Here is a 17,265-nt window from a genome sequence, read left to right on the forward strand (position 1 = left end):
CTTCTTAATTATAGGAAGTAGATACAGAGGGGTAAAGTTATTTAACTGGGAATCTACCCCACACCTCAAAGGTTAGGTCACTAATTGCGGGTGCACAGGAGAGATGGTAGGATGGGAGGGACAGGAGAAGACATGTTTAGATATATCTGGTAAATAATTTGGTGGTGGTGGGAGCCTTCATTCCCACCCCCAACCCGCCCCCCCCTTTTAAAAAAATCCTATTTCCGAGACAAAAGCAATATAACATAACTTTGTATTTCCTGAAACTTCCAGTTTCTAAGAACTGTCCAAGAGTACTTACACGCACATTCCCGAGACCGTTGGAGTTGTTCGATAGGTCTAGGGAGGGATCTGGGGATACGTGTTTTACAAGCACCATGAGCGATTCTTCAAAGTTGGGTGTTTGAATCAAAAGAGCAGAATTCATGATACCGTTTTGTGCACTCCTTGAGCTAAAAGGTAGTATCCCACCCTCTCCATAAACAGACACCTAAGTTATAAAACTTATGCGCTCGATATGCAAAAATAGCTCGTTTTATACAGAAACGATCCTTTCCTTCTTTTCCTTATATATCTTTTAACTGTCATCACTCCTAACCTAGACCTAGAGTGGCTTTTTCCGGTCCTAGCTCTGCCGGACACACGCTCTGCCCAGAGACCCGATCCACCCAAGGCCAGGCGGTCTGGGGTCACGTCTGTGTCCAGCGTCCGGCGGGCGCTGCCGTGCCGCTCTCCCATTGGCTGGAAGTTCCCTCGCGGGCCGGCGCGGCTCCTGCTCGCCACGCCAGCCCATCGGGCTACGGACCGCCCAGGGGGGCGGGGCTTGGGAGTTGGGGCGGGGCCCGGGTGAGGGGCGGGGCCTCGGGGCGTCGCGGACGTCCTGGCGGCCTACTGCGTGGGAGGGAGTCCTGGGCCGCGCCCCGCGAGGCCGGGCCCAGGCCGGGCCAATCCCGGGCCACTGGGCGGGCGACCGTGGGGCCTGGCCGGCCCGCCGGAGAGCCTGGGGGTTGGGGACGATGGGCTAGTTCCTGGTGCGTCACGGGGGAGTTCCTTAAAGGGGAAGCGAGCCGGGCTACGGGGCGAGCGCGGGGTGCGGTGGTCGGCGGGGAGGCCCCCGCGCTTTAAAATAATGCCCGCGGCGCCCGCGCGACCATGCAATGGCGAGCGCTCGTCCTGGGGCTGGTGCTCCTCCGGCTTGGCCTCCATGGAGTATTGTGGCTCGTCTTCGGGCTGGGGCCCAGCATGGGCTTCTACCAGCGCTTTCCGCTCAGCTTCGGCTTCCAGCGTCTGAGGAGCCCCGACGGCCCCGCGTCGCCCACCTCGGGGCCCGTGGGCCGGCCTGGGGGGGTATCCGGGCCGTCGTGGCTGCAGCCGCCGGGGACCGGGGCAGCGCAGAGCCCGCGCAAGGCTCCGCGGCGTCCTGGGCCGGGGATGTGCGGCCCAGCCAACTGGGGCTACGTGCTGGGCGGCCGGGGCCGCGGCCCGGACGAGTACGAGAAGCGCTACAGCGGCGCCTTCCCTCCGCAGCTGCGTGCCCAGATGCGCGACCTGGCACGGGGCATGTTCGTCTTTGGCTACGACAACTACATGGCTCACGCCTTCCCCCAGGACGAGCTCAACCCCATCCACTGCCGCGGCCGTGGGCCCGACCGCGGGGACCCGTGAGTAGCCCCCGCCGCCCGGGGCCGCGCGCCCACGCGCTTCCTTCCGCCCTCCGCGCCGGGGTGCAGCCCTCTGTCCTCCGGGGCCCCCGAGGGCGCCAGGGCCGTTAGGGTCCCGGGCAGCGCTCCCGCGCCCTGTCCCGTGTGAGTCCCTGTGAAGACCCCCGAGCTTGAGGGTGCGGGGTGGGCCGGTGGCCTTCCTCTCCTGATTCTCCCGGAATCTCCAAACTTCAGAACTGCTGTCCAGCTCAGTGTCTTACGCGTGAGGATACTGAGGTCCAGGACCAGAAGGGACAGTGGCAGTGCCAAGGGCTGGCTTGGAGGGCTTTCCACTTCCATCCGACCCCTTCCTCCGGATGAGCATAAACTCTAAATGAAATCTCCATCATGCCCCCCGTGTAAACGCAGCCTCAGAACAAGCCTTTACCTCGCACCCCCACCTCTATCACATTGCCACACCCACGTCTTTTCTATGTAAAAAGCCTATAGTTGACTTCTCCAAAGCCGTCCATTGAGTTTGAGGCAGAACGGGGTTACAGCCTCTCCTTCACAGGGGCTGCTTCTTAGGCTGAGGATAGTTAGGTGGTGGGGAGGGAAGCTATGTGGCCCACTTTTGGGGTCCAGATACTTGAGGTGAAATTCACTGGATGCCAGATTGACTGTCAACGTCATCGCCCTGTACGATCTGTCTATAAATCCCCCGCCTCTGGTGGCGTGGTTGTCCGGGAAGGTCAGGCAGTCTTCCCTGTTCACCAGCCTTGTTTGCAAAGGCTGAGCTCCAAGGGTCACCACTGTTGACATCAAAGTCCAAGAGGGCAGTACACCCAGCTAAGGACCTCTTACCTGTAGGGAAGGAATGTGCATTGCCATAGACCCTGTTAGTCCAAATAGTTGACTCCCCTCCCCTGGATGGGAGTGGAGGAGTTGGTTTGCTCAGTGTCTTGGCACCGTCTGGGGCAAGCATTTTCCTTCACCTGGAGGAAAGCAGTGGAGTCCAGTCCTTAGGTTCTGATAAGGAAGCCTATAGACTAAACGGAGTTGGGTTTTTAAAATGGTGTGGTTATTTACACATTTATGTTTTAAATTGCAGTTTGAGAGCATGATTTCTACCGAAGCAAGGGGACATCCCAAGCTAAATTCAAAGGACTGAGCCTTTTCAAAATTCTAGGAAACCGATGAGTTTTTCTTGCTTAACCATAGCGTTTATACGTATAAGTGTATTTTCTATCTCAATTTTTTTGAGAAAAAATATTAAATTTTGAAAAAAAAGTATTTGGCCTTTCCAGATTTTTTGTTTGTTTTTTGAGACGGAGTCTCGCTTTGTCGCCCAGGCTGGAGTGCAGTGGCGCGATCTCCGCTCACTGCAACCTCCGCCTCTGTGGTTAAAGTGATTCTCCTGCCTCAGCCTCCCGAGTAGCTGGGACTACAGACTCGTGCCACCACGCCCGGCTAATTTTTTGTATTTTTAGTAGAGACGGGGTTTCACCGTATTAGCCAGGATGGTCTCATCTCCTGACCTCGTGATCCACCCGCCTGGGCCTCCCAAAGTGCTGGGATTACAGGCGTGAGCCACCGCTCCCGGCCATGGTCTTTCCAGATTTTAAGAAATGAATGAATTATTTGGCTCACTTAACTAGAGGGGACTTTATACCTATAAATGTATTTTCTTTCTTAGTTTTTTTTTTGGGGGGGGGGATAAACTTCATTTAATTGTGGTCTTTTTTTTGTTGTCAGCCTACATCATGCTTTGATGTTTTTTCTTTTTAAATCAACATCATTAAAGTTTGAAAAATATCATAAAATCCCACCAGCTATTTTAAATTTATTTTTGCCACTAGTTCCTACCCATATGTCTATGCATGTTTTACATAGTTGCAATCATAGTATGTGTACATATTTTGGATCTTAATTTGTGCTTTTCCACTAGTGCTCTTGGTATTACAAGAAGGGAGAGAGCACTTCCAATAAGTGCCTTTATTCCTGCTCACAGACTGTTTCTCAGATTACCTTTTATCAGGTGGACTGAAGTTGAAAACAGTTTAACGGGGAATTGTGATAACACTTTCATTTGAGAATATGACGGTTTGGAGAGTGAGTTGATGACATTTTAATGTTTTTCTTAATGAACCTTAAAAGCGCTTCTGGAGAACCTTAAGAATCCCTTCCCAGCAAAGTGAGGTGGTGGTTGATTTAACTTGCTGGTCTTTGTGGTATCATGTGTGCTGTTGGCCTTTATTTCAGGATGAAGGCTGCCGATGAGTGTTTTGGTTTGGTTATGCATTGGTTTGGTTATGCGTAAGTTAAGGTCAGGTTGCTTTGAGACAGATGTGTTATTGGAAAGAGGGTTTTAGAAGTATTGAGGAGGTGGGGATGGCATTAGGGAAGGGTTGTGCCCTGAGCTGGGTAGGCCCGTTGGTTGGTAAACCTTTGTTGTCTTTGAGGAGGCCAAAGAAGCCTTGCATGGACGCCTCACACTTGCCACTTACAAACAGTGGAAAACTTAATTTTTTGTACTCTCCTTCCTTTAACTCCTCTCAGGCTTTGCTTTTTTTTAAATATTTTTTAAAAAAATTTATTTTTAATTTTTGAGGATACACAGTAGGTGTATATATTTATAGGGTACATGAGATATTTTGGCACAGGCATGCAATTTGTAATAATCACATCATGGAAAATTGGGTATCCAACCCCTCAAGCATTTTTCTTTTGTGTTACAAACAATCCAATTATACTTTTAGTTATTTTAAAATGTACAGTTAAATTATTATTGACTGTAGTCCTCCTGTTATGCTATCGAATACTAGGCCTTGAGGAAAGTTTAAAACCAGAGTATTGTCATGCTGGCTTTGAAACAGGAGGGTACTTCACATCCCCAAACTAAATAATCTGTAATAAAAATTTTTCATATTTTTTGTTTGTTTGTTTAATTGACAGGGTATTGTTCTGTCACCCAGGCTGGAGTGCAGTGGCATAATCATTGCTCACTGCAGCCTTGAACTCCTGGGCTCAAGCAGTCCTCCTGCCTCAGCCTCCCGAATAGCTGGGACTAGAGGTGTGCCCCACCATGCTCGGCTAATTTTTTTTTTTTTTAATTTTTCTGTAGAAGTGGGGTCTTACTTTGTTGCCCAGGATGGTCTCAAACCCCTGGCCTCAAGCAGTCTTCCCGCCTTGGCCTCCCAAAGTGCTGAGATTATAGGTGTGAGCCACCAAGCCCAGCCAAAAATCTTTCAGATTTTAAAAAATCAAATGTATTCTAATGACTCATTTAACAAGAGTGAATTTGCCATTAGAGTATTATATAAAAAGTACACATAGAAAATTTCGGTGCTAAACACTCTTACCGTTTCTCTGTAGTCATATATGCTCCAAACTTATCTTGCCTCAAGTACATGTGACTTGTTCTTGGGGAGGTATCAGGTAAGGAGTTAACATGAAGTGAATAAAACCTGAACACTCTAAAAAGAGCAGATCTGTCTAAGATAACTATGCAAAGTCAGTTCTCACATCCTTAATTTGGGTTGGAGGATCCAAATTTAAAGTTTCTTTGAGTAAATGTGGATATTATATTTTTGTAATCCTGTGAATGGTTAACTGTAGTTCTGGCTTTTGGGCATGTGACCATTCTCAATTTCTTCTCAACTGTATTGCTATTAAAACAACAAAACAAATCTCAAATTAAGCCAAACAAATATTGGCCCCTCAAATGCTTAGGTACTACTAGCTCAAGATGGCCTCCTCTGCATTCCTCTTTCTTTGGAAAGTCCTGCCCTCTTTCAGAGTCAGGCTCCTCTTGTTTCCGTGACACCATCTAACTGTTTGAAGATGATTTTCCTTTATTTGCTCAGTTCTTCTTTTGATTCCTTTCCTTTGAGCTGCGATTCTACATTTTAACCTTATTTGAGGATTGAGTACTGTTGTGTATTCACCTGCATTTCCCTTTGTCTTGTCTCTCCAGATTATCAATCCCTTGAACGCAGGGACTGTTTCTTATGTTATCTCTGTGCCTACACCACACCAGGTAGATTTCTGAACAGCTGTTACAGGTTAAGTATACATGGGAATTTAAATTTAAAAACACATATGTTTGATTTTGTTAGCTACATAATCAAAAATTTTCTATCAAAGGCCATGGTTTTCTCCATCTTTTCTGTTTTGAGGTGAACTTTAAAAATTTACAGTGGGGTGAATGCCATGAACATTTGTACCTGGTGAAGTAAGTGGAGCGTTTAGTTGTGCGGTTCAGCCAGCTGGTTACAGGGAAAGGTATTGAGTTCTTGCTGGATGAACTTAAAGGTATCAGGTTAGGCTGGAGATTGACAAGAATATCTACAAAGAACAAATCCAGAGTCTGAGCTGCATAGTGGGCTGGCATAAATGGAGTCATAATAATTTCATGCTGTTAGGCCAGTAGAGTTTTATGGTGTTTTTTTTTCTTCCTTCATCCTCACTCCCACTTCCCCCTTATTTTGGCACCTTTTGAAAGAGGATGTAGCAATTATTTGGTAAGAAAGAATTAAAAGTGTTCTAATGAGTAAATACCCCAGATCTTAGAGAGGATTTGTCTGACTAGAGTGGAGAGAAGAAACCCCACAGTTACTGCAAGTAATTTTTTTTTTTTTTTTTACTGTGGCAGCTCATTAATTTTTAGTGACTGGGCATTGTAAAAAATATTTTAAAACTGGGTCTATTTTAGTTATAGATTACAAGGCAAAGCACAATAAAACATAGAAAGGAGTTCAGTGCTCACAGTGAGTACCTTCCTTCCATGGGCCTGTGCAGGTGGATAGAATGACACATGCCGCAGATCTGGGTGTGACTCAGGAGAGGGGAGTTACATGTGGTTCTCCTGATTACCATCTAGCTTGGATGCTACATGATGAGGGAGCTGTTTTCTGATGAGGTGGGCTGTTGAAGCCCACTCTGTTTCTAAGCGGCAGAGCAACAGAGTGAAATATTTACACAGAGCAGAACATTCTTGAGTTGGCAGAATTGGGCGTAAGGATCTCCCTGTCTCCTTTGAGCCCCTCCTGCAACCCTTGCACTTTTTGTACCTTTTTTGGCTGTCACTTGCGCTTGAGAGGCATATTTGAATCCATAGCTCTTGCTTTGAGGGGACCTTTTGCTATTGTATAAGTTTATTTCCAGAAAATCAACAAATAGAAAAAACAGGTACAATTTTCCAGCCAAGCAGTTTTCTGACTTCCCAGCTTATAGGAAATGAGCTAGCCCTAGTTCCTAGACTATAGCCCCCATATATATCTCGTTTCAAAAAAACAGTATCTAAAATTTTTTTTTTTTTTGAGACAGAGTTTCGCTCTTGTTGCCCAGGCTGGAGTGCAATGGCATGATCTCGGCTCACCGCAACCTCCGCCTCCTGAGTTCAAGTAATTCTTCTGCCTCAGCCTCCCTAGTAGCTGGGATTACAGGCGCCTGCCACCACGCCCAGCTAATTTTTGTATTTTTAGTAGAGACAGGGTCTTGCCATGTTGGCCAGGCTGGTCTTGAACTCCTGACCTTGGATGATCCACCCACCTCGGCCTCCCAAAGTGCTGGGATTACAGGCGTGAGCCACCGCACCCAGCCTAAAATTTTACTATAAATTCTTTGCTTTAGATTAGATGGTGTAACAGCATAAAACAAGGCAACTGGAGGGTTCAAATAAAATGAGACATTGGAGCTGTTATGCCTCTTTCACATAAGCCCCATTTTCCCCAGCTGAGGCACAGGCCTTTCAGAGACCACAGCAAGCCATCACAACACGAGAGGTGCTGTGCACCAGAAGCTTCTCTGACTGGAAGGTGAGATAAGGACCCATTAGGGTGATCCGAGGAGCAGATGAAGTGCTTTGGGATATGATGGAAGACTGCAGATATCAATGCATCTTGCTGGAAATAAAACTGGAGCTTTTTTGCTTTGGTTGCTAATAAAATCTTTAAACAGTTGTCTTATGTCTTCTCTTACTATCATTTTTTCCAAGCTTCTGCACTTATTTTCTGGATTTTTGGGAATGGGACAAATAAATAAATGAAGTCCCCAGAATTTCTCAAACTGTCCTTTATTTTACTAGTTCTTCATCCCTATTCTCCCAGATGTATTAGTTTTTTTGTTGTTGACTTTTTTGTAAAGTGTTACAAAGACATACCACAGTGCCTGAGGAGCTTCACCCTTGTCATCCTGAAGTTGGTTTCTTAAGGTTGTTTCAGAATGGAAAATTGGTGTAGATTATGGGGTGAGAGGTGTGTGGCAGAAACGTTTATGTAGCTCCAGTCAAGAAGTGAGAAAGGCCTCAATTCCTGCCTAGGTTCATGTTAAATGATATCTCAGAATTAACGGAAATAATCAAGACCCTTTGGATGAGTTATTAATGAAGAAATGGTGTAAAGAAGTTAATTTATACCCCCAACCATAGGGCAGATGAGTAATATTGACACTGTCAATTAATGTATTTACTTCTTTTTGTGTGTAATATAGGCTGTGGTGTCTAATTTCTGTATTAAAGTATTACAGGTGGGTCGTATGACAAGGGCTCTTCTTTAGTTCCTAATGATTGTGAAATCAGAGCTTTTTAAAGTTGGACAGGACCAAGGAGATTGTCTATGGTGATAAACCTGAATCTCAGAGAGGAGATGACTCACTGCCTCCTGACTTCCTGTGAGCATTCTTTCCACTCTGGTACAAGTGTGTCTCCACAGTTCTGTGACTTGATTCTACTTATGGACACCATAGAAAGTGTTACTTTGGGGGTAGAAAGACCTTTGCTGTATTAATTCACCCATAATTAGTTCCTGAATAAATAAGAGTTGCTGGCAATTATAGTTTCTGATGGGTGTTTACTTTTATTGTCTTCTCTTTTGAAATAAAGTCTTTTTGTTGAATTTTAATTTTCTTTTTCAGTTCAAATCTGAACATCAATGATGTACTAGGGAACTACTCATTGACTCTTGTTGATGCATTGGATACACTTGCAGTAAGTGTTCACCTTTTTTTAAAAAAATGAATTAAGATGTTTTAGAGTTGATTATCCCTAGTTCCCTCCAGCAGTGGGAATTCCAGGGAGCCTGATAAGTCAAAATGTATCATTAGCTTTGATAACTGTTATTTATTTTAATGACCTTAATGGGGAGAACAAGAAAAGTGTTGAAGGTTAAATGAGGGGAAATGTGATTCCATTAAAAAAAGGAGAAGGAATGTACGATTGATTTTAGGGAACCTATTTTTTTTTAACCAGTTTCTATCTTATTCCCTAAAAGAACCCATAATGAAGCTCATTAATATTGATAATTATAGTCGTTGCTATTCCAGGAGTAAAAGAGAGAAGATCTAAGGGTTGGCAGGTACCCTGAAATGTCATCTAGCCACTGGCTCCCCCAGGAGCAAGTTGGAGCCCTAGCGCCCATCCTTATGTGGGGCTCCCTAGAAACCCTTCTCTTTTATTTGCCACTTCCTGTTTTGTGGACACTCCATGCCTGAGCTGCCAACGTGGGTGCTGGCATTACTGCCTCATCCTGTGGTTTTGCTCATTGACTCTGGAGAACTAGAGGCCTTTGAGCAGATATGCAGAAGCACCTTGAAGGCAGTGTGGCACTCAGTACATGGTGCCATGTCTGTGTGCTTCATCTGCTTCACCTTTTGCCATTAAAGCAGTTTCCAGGGGACTGTATTCCAGCATAGTGTTGTTTTAAAATCTTCTTAGTTAAGGTGATTTTTACAACCTCTTTGCTTTCCTTCATTGTCCAGCAAGTCTTTACCATGAGAAATATCTTATTGCAGTCTAGCCCAAATGTTGTACTTTTATTTATTCTTGTTTCTTTTAACATGCCATAGAAGAGTTTAAAGCTGTCTGTTAGGAGATAGAATTGGGGCCGGGCGCAGTGGCTCACGCCTGTAATCCCAGCACTTAGGGCGGTTGAGGTGGGAGGATCAGCTGAGGTCAGGAGTTTGAGACCAGCCTGACCAACATGGTGAAACCCCTTCTCTACTAAAAGTACAAAAATTAGCTGGGCATGGTGGCGGGCGCCTGTGGTCCCAGCTCTTCAAGAGGCTGAGGCAGGAGAAATGCTTGAACCCAGGAGTCAGAGGTTGCAGTCAGCTGAGATTGCGCCACTGCACTGTAGCCTGGGCAACAGAGTGAGACTCCATCTCTGGAGACACACACACACACACACACACAAGAATTGGGTAATGTGCTAGCCAAGTTTGCATTATGATTGTCTAGTATCTTGCTAGTAGTAGAATTACCAGAACTTGGAAAGAGCTTGAGAGATCATTCTACGTCCTCATTTTATAAATAAGTAGTAGAAATAGGACTAGGCCCTTGGTCTAATAGGAAATCTGGGGTACTGATTTAGTATAATTTAAATTACAAAGCAACTTAGTTTCCCAATATCTCCTTCTGAAGTTATTGCTGCTCTGTTTCAGTCATTTACCATCACTGATCAAAATGTGCCCAGACAAGTATGTTCGACCTTAGAGCTAATTTGTTGATGATACCAGAGGCTGACTCAGCCTACAAGTGTTGCTTAAAGGAAACGTCCTAAGACTCAATGTATAGCTCATGAAAGCCTACTCCTTGTCCCTGAGAGCTTTGTCATCGTCGTCGTCTTTTCTTTTCTTTTCTTTTCTTTTTTTTTTTTTTGAGAGAGTCTCGCTCTGCCGCCAGGCTGGAGTGCTGTGGCGTGATCTTGGCTCACTTCAACCTTCAGCTCCTGGGTTCGAGTGATTCGCCTGCCTCAGCCTCCCGAGTAGCTGGCTTTTTTTTTTTTTTTTTTCCCCATTTTGTTTTTTTATCCCTCCATCTTGCCTGCTATTCTGTTGTTCACCATACTCTCCCCCACACTTAATGGTGTCTGGTGCACAGTAGCAGTGCAAATGTTTGTTCAAAAAATGAATTCTGACTAATGAAGCATTTCCCAACACAGATTCCAAAGATACTTACTCCCTGAAAGAAGAGTTCTGTTTCTAAATGAACTTGAGAAATTCCGTATGTCTGGTCCCACTATTAGAGAGCCACAGTGCCCATCAGCATTTTAAAGACTCTGAGAAGTCCTACAGTCAAACAAACAAACCCATTTAGCTCCTCTGTCCCATTCAGCCATTTTCAAACATTAGTGTGATTTCAGAACATAGTCACTCAGGATTCTATAGCTATCTGACCATAATGATAAACTACAATAAGTAAGAGCTGTTGACTTCCTTCACCTTCCTCACTTGATTTGAGCTCCTGTCAGCACCTGCAGCTTCACCAGATATTGTTGCTGGTAAACATCTGTAAGGAAACAGACTCATCTCTGTGGTTTTCATTGTAGAATATCCGGCCTTTAGTGCTTCAGGCTTATTTTTCAGGTGTTACTTCTGTTGAAGTTTTCCTTTTCTTTTGCTAACATTTAAACAGGCTTTAACAGATGTGCTAGGGAAACACTGTGAAGATAGCAGTCCCCTGACCATTGGATGCAACTTGCAGCATTATTGCATCATCTTCTAAAAAGAAAGAACTGAAAGCTAGAAATGTCTGTACTTACTCTGTAGGTTACAGCAAAATAACGATGAGGTGGAAAAAATGTAGTTAGGCACAGCTTGGTTTTATACATTGTAGGGAGACATGAGACATCAATCAGTATGTGTAAGATGTACATTGGTTCAGTCCAGAAAAGTGAGACAACTTGAAGTGCTGGGGGTGGGGTGAGGGGGCACTTCCAAGTCACAGGCAGATAAAAGACAAATGGTTACATTTTTTTTGTCTTTTTTTTTTGAGACAGAGTCTTGCTGTGTTGCCCAGGCTGGAGTGCAGTGGTGAGATCTCGGCTCACTGCACCCTCCACCTTCCCAGGGGTTCAAGCAGTTCTTGTGCCTCAGCCTCCCGAGTAGCTGGGATTACAGGCATGCGCCACCACGCCTGGCTAATTTTTTGTATTTTTAGTAGAGACAAGGTTTTGCCATGTTGGCCAGGCTGGTTTTGAACTCTTGGCCTGAAGTGATCCGCTCGCTTTGGCCTCCCTAAGTATGGGCTTACAGACCTGAGCCACCGTGTCCAGCCGGTTGACTCTCTGATTAGCCTTTCACGGAATATACAGTTTACCTGTGACAAAGGTAGAGGAATAGTCACTTATGCCTTTGTCTGGCTTAGTGAATCTGCAGTTTTACATAAACAGTAGGGCAGAGGAAGCAATCAGATATGCATTTTTCTTAGGTGAGCAGAGGGATGACTGAGTTCTGTCCTTTGTTTGTACCTGTGAAGATAAACTGTCAATTTACATTGCCTGGGTGAAATTCAGCAGAATTGTTTTGAGGGGAAGATCTTGAGGCCCACAAGGAATTTCCTTGTAGGTAAATTGTAAGGGACGTATATAGCTTTTTTTTTTTTTTTTTTTTTTGAATCTTTGTAGCTATCTTATTTAGGAATAAAATGGGAGGCAGGTTTGCCTGATGCAGTTCCTAGCTTGACTTTTCCCTTTGGCTTAGTGATTTTGGGGTCCCAGAAATTTATTTTTCTATCACAGTATGTCCTTATGATGTCATTATAGTCTCAGGGTTGTCATAAAATTTAGAGTGGAATGAAATAATTTTGATTCAGGTTAATCTATAAAGTTTGATGCCCAACTGTGCTTCACATAGGAGAGAGTGGCTTAGTGTGACGTCGTATCTACATACCCAAAATAGGAATCATAATTCTAGATCACTTTTTAAAAAGGACATAGAGCTGATTATTCATATGTTTTGTTTCTTTTAAATCAGTCACTGGTTTTATCCTGTGCTCCAAAAGATATTACCACTATTTCTCAAAGTGTTTAGGCATCTGGATAACAATCAACAAGTTCATTCAGTTTTCCACATGTTTTGGTCTCCTGGGAGCCAAGCACCCAAGCTGCTGATTTATTTGAGGAGCAGAGAGAAAGACATATTTTTGTTTCTTCAGTTTTCTGATTTATTTGTATACCTGCCAGAAGTTTTAGAAACCACAATGCCTGGCATGTTAAATAAGATCATAGTGAAGTTTGCTGGAGAGTGGAGTTGGGAAGATGAGGAGTGCCAATGATTTTACAAGGAATTATTTTCACAGTTTTGTCCTTTGGAGACAGGACTCTTGAGTTGGAGGAAATGGGCCAGCCATGTGCTGGGAATATATGCTAAGAAATAACTGCTTTTCTGTCTCTTGTGTTTCTACTCCTATGGTAGCAAAACCACATACAGACATTTAGGTGACGTGACTGGGCTGCTGTGATGATACAGCCTCAGTTTCATTTCAAGTTGCTGTAATGACCTGTGTTCCTCTTTTTAAAGATAATGGGAAATTCATCCGAGTTCCAGAAAGCCGTCAAGTTAGTGATCAACACAGTTTCATTTGACAAAGATTCCACCGTCCAAGTCTTTGAGGCCACGATAAGGTAAAATAATGAATATTCATAAAATGAATTGGAGACTTCTTTTTATGTGTTTAAAGAAAAAAATACCTTTGAGGGTCTTTTTGCCACATGATCCAGGCAGGGAGTCCATATGGGCTTTATGGGTGCAGTGTGCATTTTTCATGTTCATATCTGTCAAAACTGGAACAATTATTTCAAAGTAATCACATTCCGGACTGAAGGGAAAGACACGTTTGTATTTTGTTTTGTTTTTATAGATTAAACTCTTTTTTTTTTTTTTTTTGAAATGGAGTCTCTGCCACCTAGGCTGGAGGGCAGTGGTGCAATCTTGGCTCACTGCAATCTCCACCTCCCAGGTTCAAGGCATTCTCATATCTCAGCCTCCAGAGTAGCTGGGATTACAGGCACTCACCACCACACCTAAGTTTTGTATTTTCAGTAGAGATGAGATTTCACCATGTTGGCCAGGCTGGTCTCGAACTCCTGACCTCAAGTGATCCGCCTGCCTTGGCCTCCCAAAGTGCTGGGATAACAGGCATGAGCCACCATGCCTGGGTACATTTATGTTTTAACGGGGGTGTAAAATAGGTGTCTGTCTAGTACAGAATTTCATGGTTTCCCTTTATAGTCTGATTTCATTTTCTTCTTTCACCGTGTCCTAGGACAACCCCTACATATTTCTGAAGGAAATGAGAGTTTCCCATCTTACCACCCACAGAAAATCACTGCTTACCATTTTAGTATATTTCTTTGTTAGGTATATCTCTCACTTCTATTTCTCTCTCTGTCTCTCTCTTTTTCTCTATTTGTTTAGTGGATTGGGATCATGCTGTATACCTAGTATATTGTATATTGCTTTTTTTGATACATTGTGGTTATTTTCCTGTTTACATCTTTTGAAAATTGTATCAACTGCATAACATTCCAGTTCACAGATGTAATACTTATTTAAAATTAAATTGGTGAAAACCTTTGTTCTGACATATATCACAGCCTACTTCAGATCTTTAGAATGGGACTTTATGGGTCTACAAGGACTTAGGTATAAGCTGGTAGCCTGCTGCCTCTTAGTAGGTCATTTTTTCCTCCTCCTCTTCACCTTGCCTCTTTACCAGATGTTACGGTGTTAGGGAAGTTGCTTGGCAGCCAAAACAACAAAAATTACTTAGTATTTGTTGTCTTACCTTTCTCTGTTTTTTTTTTTTTAATTTGAATTAAATTAAATTTTTTTTTTCATTTTAGAGCAGGGTCTTGCTCTGTTGCCCAGGCTGAAGTGCAGTGGTGCTATCACGGCTCACTGCAGCCTTGAACTCCTGGGCTCAAGCGATCCTCCCACCTCAGCCTCCCAAATAGCTGGGACTACAGGCAAATGTCACCATGCCCAGCTTCTGTTTTTTTATGAGTGTTTTCCCCAAGTGAAATAAATCAGGAGTAATTTAATAATACTAATAGGTAATATTTATTCTGAGAACAGTTAGTACACTCTTATTTTTTTTTTTAAGAGACAGGGTCCTGCTCTGTTACACAGGCTAAAGTGTAGTGGCATGATTGTAGCAGTCTTCAATTTCTAGGTTCAAGAGATCGTCCTGCCTCAGCCTCCCAAGTAGCTACTAGGACTACTGGTGTGTGCCACTACATGCGGCTAATTTTTTTTATTTTTAATAGAGACAGGGTCTTGCCTTGTTGCCCAGGCTAGTCTTGAACTCCTGGCCTCAAGAGATGCATCTCTCTTGGCAAAGTGCTGGGACTACAGGCGTGAGCCACCGCACCCAGCCAACTCCCTTTTCTTAATGCCCTAAGATTTAGATTACCAAAATTGTTACTATTTTAAATAGCATTGTTTTTGGTAGTCTCGAATAAATGATTCCCTTTCTCTCTTTTAGTAATATGGTTAACAAAAATCAATCGTGTATTCTTAGAGCTAGAAAGGAATTCAAGAGTCCATTAAGTCAGGTCTCTCTGACGTCAGGCAGTTCTGAGTCTATGTGGATATGAACATACTTCTATCTTTCTGAATTGGATTATGTGCATTTACAAGCAACACGATTGTATTATCTTTTTGTTCTTCCTGTCATTAGGGTCCTGGGAAGCCTCCTTTCTGCTCACAGAATAATAACTGACTCCAAGCAGCCCTTTGGTGACATGACAATTAAGGACTATGATAATGAGTTGTTATACATGGCCCATGACCTGGCGGTGCGGCTCCTCCCTGCTTTTGAAAACACCAAGACAGGGATTCCATATCCTCGGGTGGGTAGACTGGTTTGACCCTTTGTGTTTGACAATTCACTATCTTCCTGAATTAAAATTCTTTGCTTACTAATTTATTTGGGAGAAGGAATGGGATGGAGGTAGATGAGAAAAGCAGTGTCCTTAGAAGAATTTGGCCTTAAATATGATGTAAATATTTTAAAATTCATTCAGCATTTACTGAACATCCACTGTATGAAAGGCAAACAGTGATATATCTGACTTATTCCTTCCCCTTAAAGAGTAGATGTTCTGTGAAGTTCAGTATTCTTAAGTCCATTTACATGTGTGATTTATATTCTCTGCTACAAAGCAGTGTGGGGAGTTTGTCTTCATCTCTGACTTGGGTCTGTTTTCCCAGAGATCCTCACATGGGTATTGCGGGAGCTCAGTGAGTGTTCTTTTCAATGCTTCACGTGGATCTTTCAAATAAAGGCTGCACAGACCAGCAAGTTAGCTGCTGATTTAAATGCCAGGATCTGGAATTAGATTATATATTTGTGACATCTGATTTGCCAAGCCCAGAACTCCTCTGGGAATTGAGTCAGCCTTTTAGGTAACTGACTGAGAACTGCCAGAGCACAGAGCCTTCATGATGAAACTGGCTGTCATATTCTGGTAGTGCCTCCTTTCTTGCCCAGTTTGAGGTTTGTTTAGGTGCTGAGCAGGAGTGAGTTCATAGTGGTTCATTTAAAATTTAGAAGAAATTCTATAGTTTGCCTTTGTCTCTAACCCTAAAGCCTGGTGCCTGTGTTACCATGAAGAAAACCTGCTGGAAAGAGAAGGTTTAGTGAAGTGTTATAGCCATTCCCTGAAGACTTGCTCTTATTAATAAAGCAAGGCTCTGCTGTTCTTATTGTCTTGTTTGTGTCTTTTAAATTTAATTCCCGTATTCACCTCAGATGTATCTTGGAAGGCAGAGGGCAGACTCTCACCGTGGTAAGCTTGGTTTATTAGCTGAGTGTAGTCTCTGAGACCCGGCTTTTCAGCTCTGTGGATTCCTTGAGTTTTGTCACAGTCTTTGTCTGTTCCCATCCCCAGGTGAATCTAAAGACAGGAGTTCCTCCTGACACCAATAATGAGACATGCACAGCGGGAGCCGGTTCCCTCCTGGTGGAATTTGGGATTCTGAGTCGACTCCTGGGGGACTCCACATTTGAGTGGGTGGCCAGACGAGCAGTGAAAGCCCTTTGGAACCTCCGGAGCAATGATACAGGATTACTAGGTGTGGCACCTTTCCTCGCCATTGGGACTGCACACTGCTTGGTCCCCTTTTCCTTTCATCTTCTCTGGGCTCTGCCCCCTTTTTACTCTTCAACTCAATTGACAACTCAGCAAGAATTGTGTCAGCTCTATCTAATTTCTTTATGTGACCCTTTGCAGAGAGGCTGCATGGTCTGATGGAAAAGCATTAAGCTTTTGTGTTTGAGGGCTCCCTTCTGATTCGGATCCCCTGGCATATTCCACTTGAAAATTATTGTTAATGGAAATGCCGTAAAAAGAACTGCCTCTGAGGCAGATTTTATTGCTTCAATGTAAGGTTCTAAATATAGGAATTTAGAGTTACTGATGGAGCAGCTTTTTCCTTTTAAAAAATCTGGGCCTGTGGTAGTAGATTGAAAGTCCAGATTAAACCTGTGTGAGGTGGGGTTTTTTCCCTTTAGAATGTTTGGTGAAGATGTTACTTAAAAATTATTATGGAAAATTTCATAATATAGTAGAGAGAAAGTATGATGAATAATGACCCCTATGTACTCATCATTTGTCTTCACTAATTATCAGTATTTTGCTAACTCAAGGTGTTATTTTATTTATTTATTTATTTTGAGTTAGGGTCTCACTGTGTCACCTAGGCTGGAGTTCAGTGGTGTGATCTTGGCTCACTGCGGCCTCCACTTGCCGGGTTCAGTGATCCTCCCACCTCAGCCTCCCAAGTAGCTGAGACGACCGGCTTGTGCCACCATGTCCAGCTAATTTTGTTTATTTTATGTAGA

The 17,265-nt window shown here is 43.7% G+C and overlaps 1 protein-coding gene across 7 annotated transcripts in view, besides 8 other annotated features; it reads left to right on the plus strand.

Moving 5' to 3' along the window:
- Positions 683-1,092: a silencer, noted in NCBI's record as "silent region_14024". NCBI's record gives its function as "represses an Ori minimal core promoter by ATAC-STARR-seq in GM12878 lymphoblastoid cells {active_cell/tissue: GM12878}" and the evidence as "EXISTENCE:reporter gene assay evidence [ECO:0000049][PMID:35858748]".
- Positions 1,054-17,265, plus strand: part of EDEM1 (ER degradation enhancing alpha-mannosidase like protein 1) — a 32,252-nt gene continuing 16,040 nt past the window's right edge. For 4 of the 7 annotated variants that reach the window (XR_007095771.1, NM_014674.3, XM_047449264.1 and 1 more), the window contains exons 1-5: positions 1,054-1,661; positions 8,556-8,628; positions 12,939-13,042; positions 15,100-15,271; positions 16,313-16,496. Coding sequence is in view for 6 of the 7 variants with exons in the window: in NM_014674.3 (NP_055489.1) it covers positions 1,153-1,661; positions 8,556-8,628; positions 12,939-13,042; positions 15,100-15,271; positions 16,313-16,496 (1,042 nt within the window). In the remaining variant the exon portion in view is untranslated. The other 3 variants (XM_011534272.3, XM_047449266.1, XM_047449267.1) reach the window with 3 other exon arrangements.
- Positions 1,333-1,502: a silencer, noted in NCBI's record as "silent region_14025". NCBI's record gives its function as "represses an Ori minimal core promoter by ATAC-STARR-seq in GM12878 lymphoblastoid cells {active_cell/tissue: GM12878}" and the evidence as "EXISTENCE:reporter gene assay evidence [ECO:0000049][PMID:35858748]".
- Positions 1,553-1,842: a silencer, noted in NCBI's record as "silent region_14026". NCBI's record gives its function as "represses an Ori minimal core promoter by ATAC-STARR-seq in GM12878 lymphoblastoid cells {active_cell/tissue: GM12878}" and the evidence as "EXISTENCE:reporter gene assay evidence [ECO:0000049][PMID:35858748]".
- Positions 1,993-2,042: an enhancer, noted in NCBI's record as "active region_19380". NCBI's record gives its function as "activates an Ori minimal core promoter by ATAC-STARR-seq in GM12878 lymphoblastoid cells {active_cell/tissue: GM12878}" and the evidence as "EXISTENCE:reporter gene assay evidence [ECO:0000049][PMID:35858748]".
- Positions 3,040-3,159: a silencer, noted in NCBI's record as "silent region_14027". NCBI's record gives its function as "represses an Ori minimal core promoter by ATAC-STARR-seq in GM12878 lymphoblastoid cells {active_cell/tissue: GM12878}" and the evidence as "EXISTENCE:reporter gene assay evidence [ECO:0000049][PMID:35858748]".
- Positions 7,897-7,966: an enhancer, noted in NCBI's record as "active region_19381". NCBI's record gives its function as "activates an Ori minimal core promoter by ATAC-STARR-seq in GM12878 lymphoblastoid cells {active_cell/tissue: GM12878}" and the evidence as "EXISTENCE:reporter gene assay evidence [ECO:0000049][PMID:35858748]".
- Positions 8,367-8,436: an enhancer, noted in NCBI's record as "active region_19382". NCBI's record gives its function as "activates an Ori minimal core promoter by ATAC-STARR-seq in GM12878 lymphoblastoid cells {active_cell/tissue: GM12878}" and the evidence as "EXISTENCE:reporter gene assay evidence [ECO:0000049][PMID:35858748]".
- Positions 10,999-11,178: an enhancer, noted in NCBI's record as "active region_19383". NCBI's record gives its function as "activates an Ori minimal core promoter by ATAC-STARR-seq in GM12878 lymphoblastoid cells {active_cell/tissue: GM12878}" and the evidence as "EXISTENCE:reporter gene assay evidence [ECO:0000049][PMID:35858748]".

The sequence above is a fragment of the Homo sapiens genome, chromosome 3, assembly GCF_000001405.40.
Source record: "Homo sapiens chromosome 3, GRCh38.p14 Primary Assembly".
NCBI classification, from domain to species: domain Eukaryota; kingdom Metazoa; phylum Chordata; class Mammalia; order Primates; family Hominidae; genus Homo; species Homo sapiens.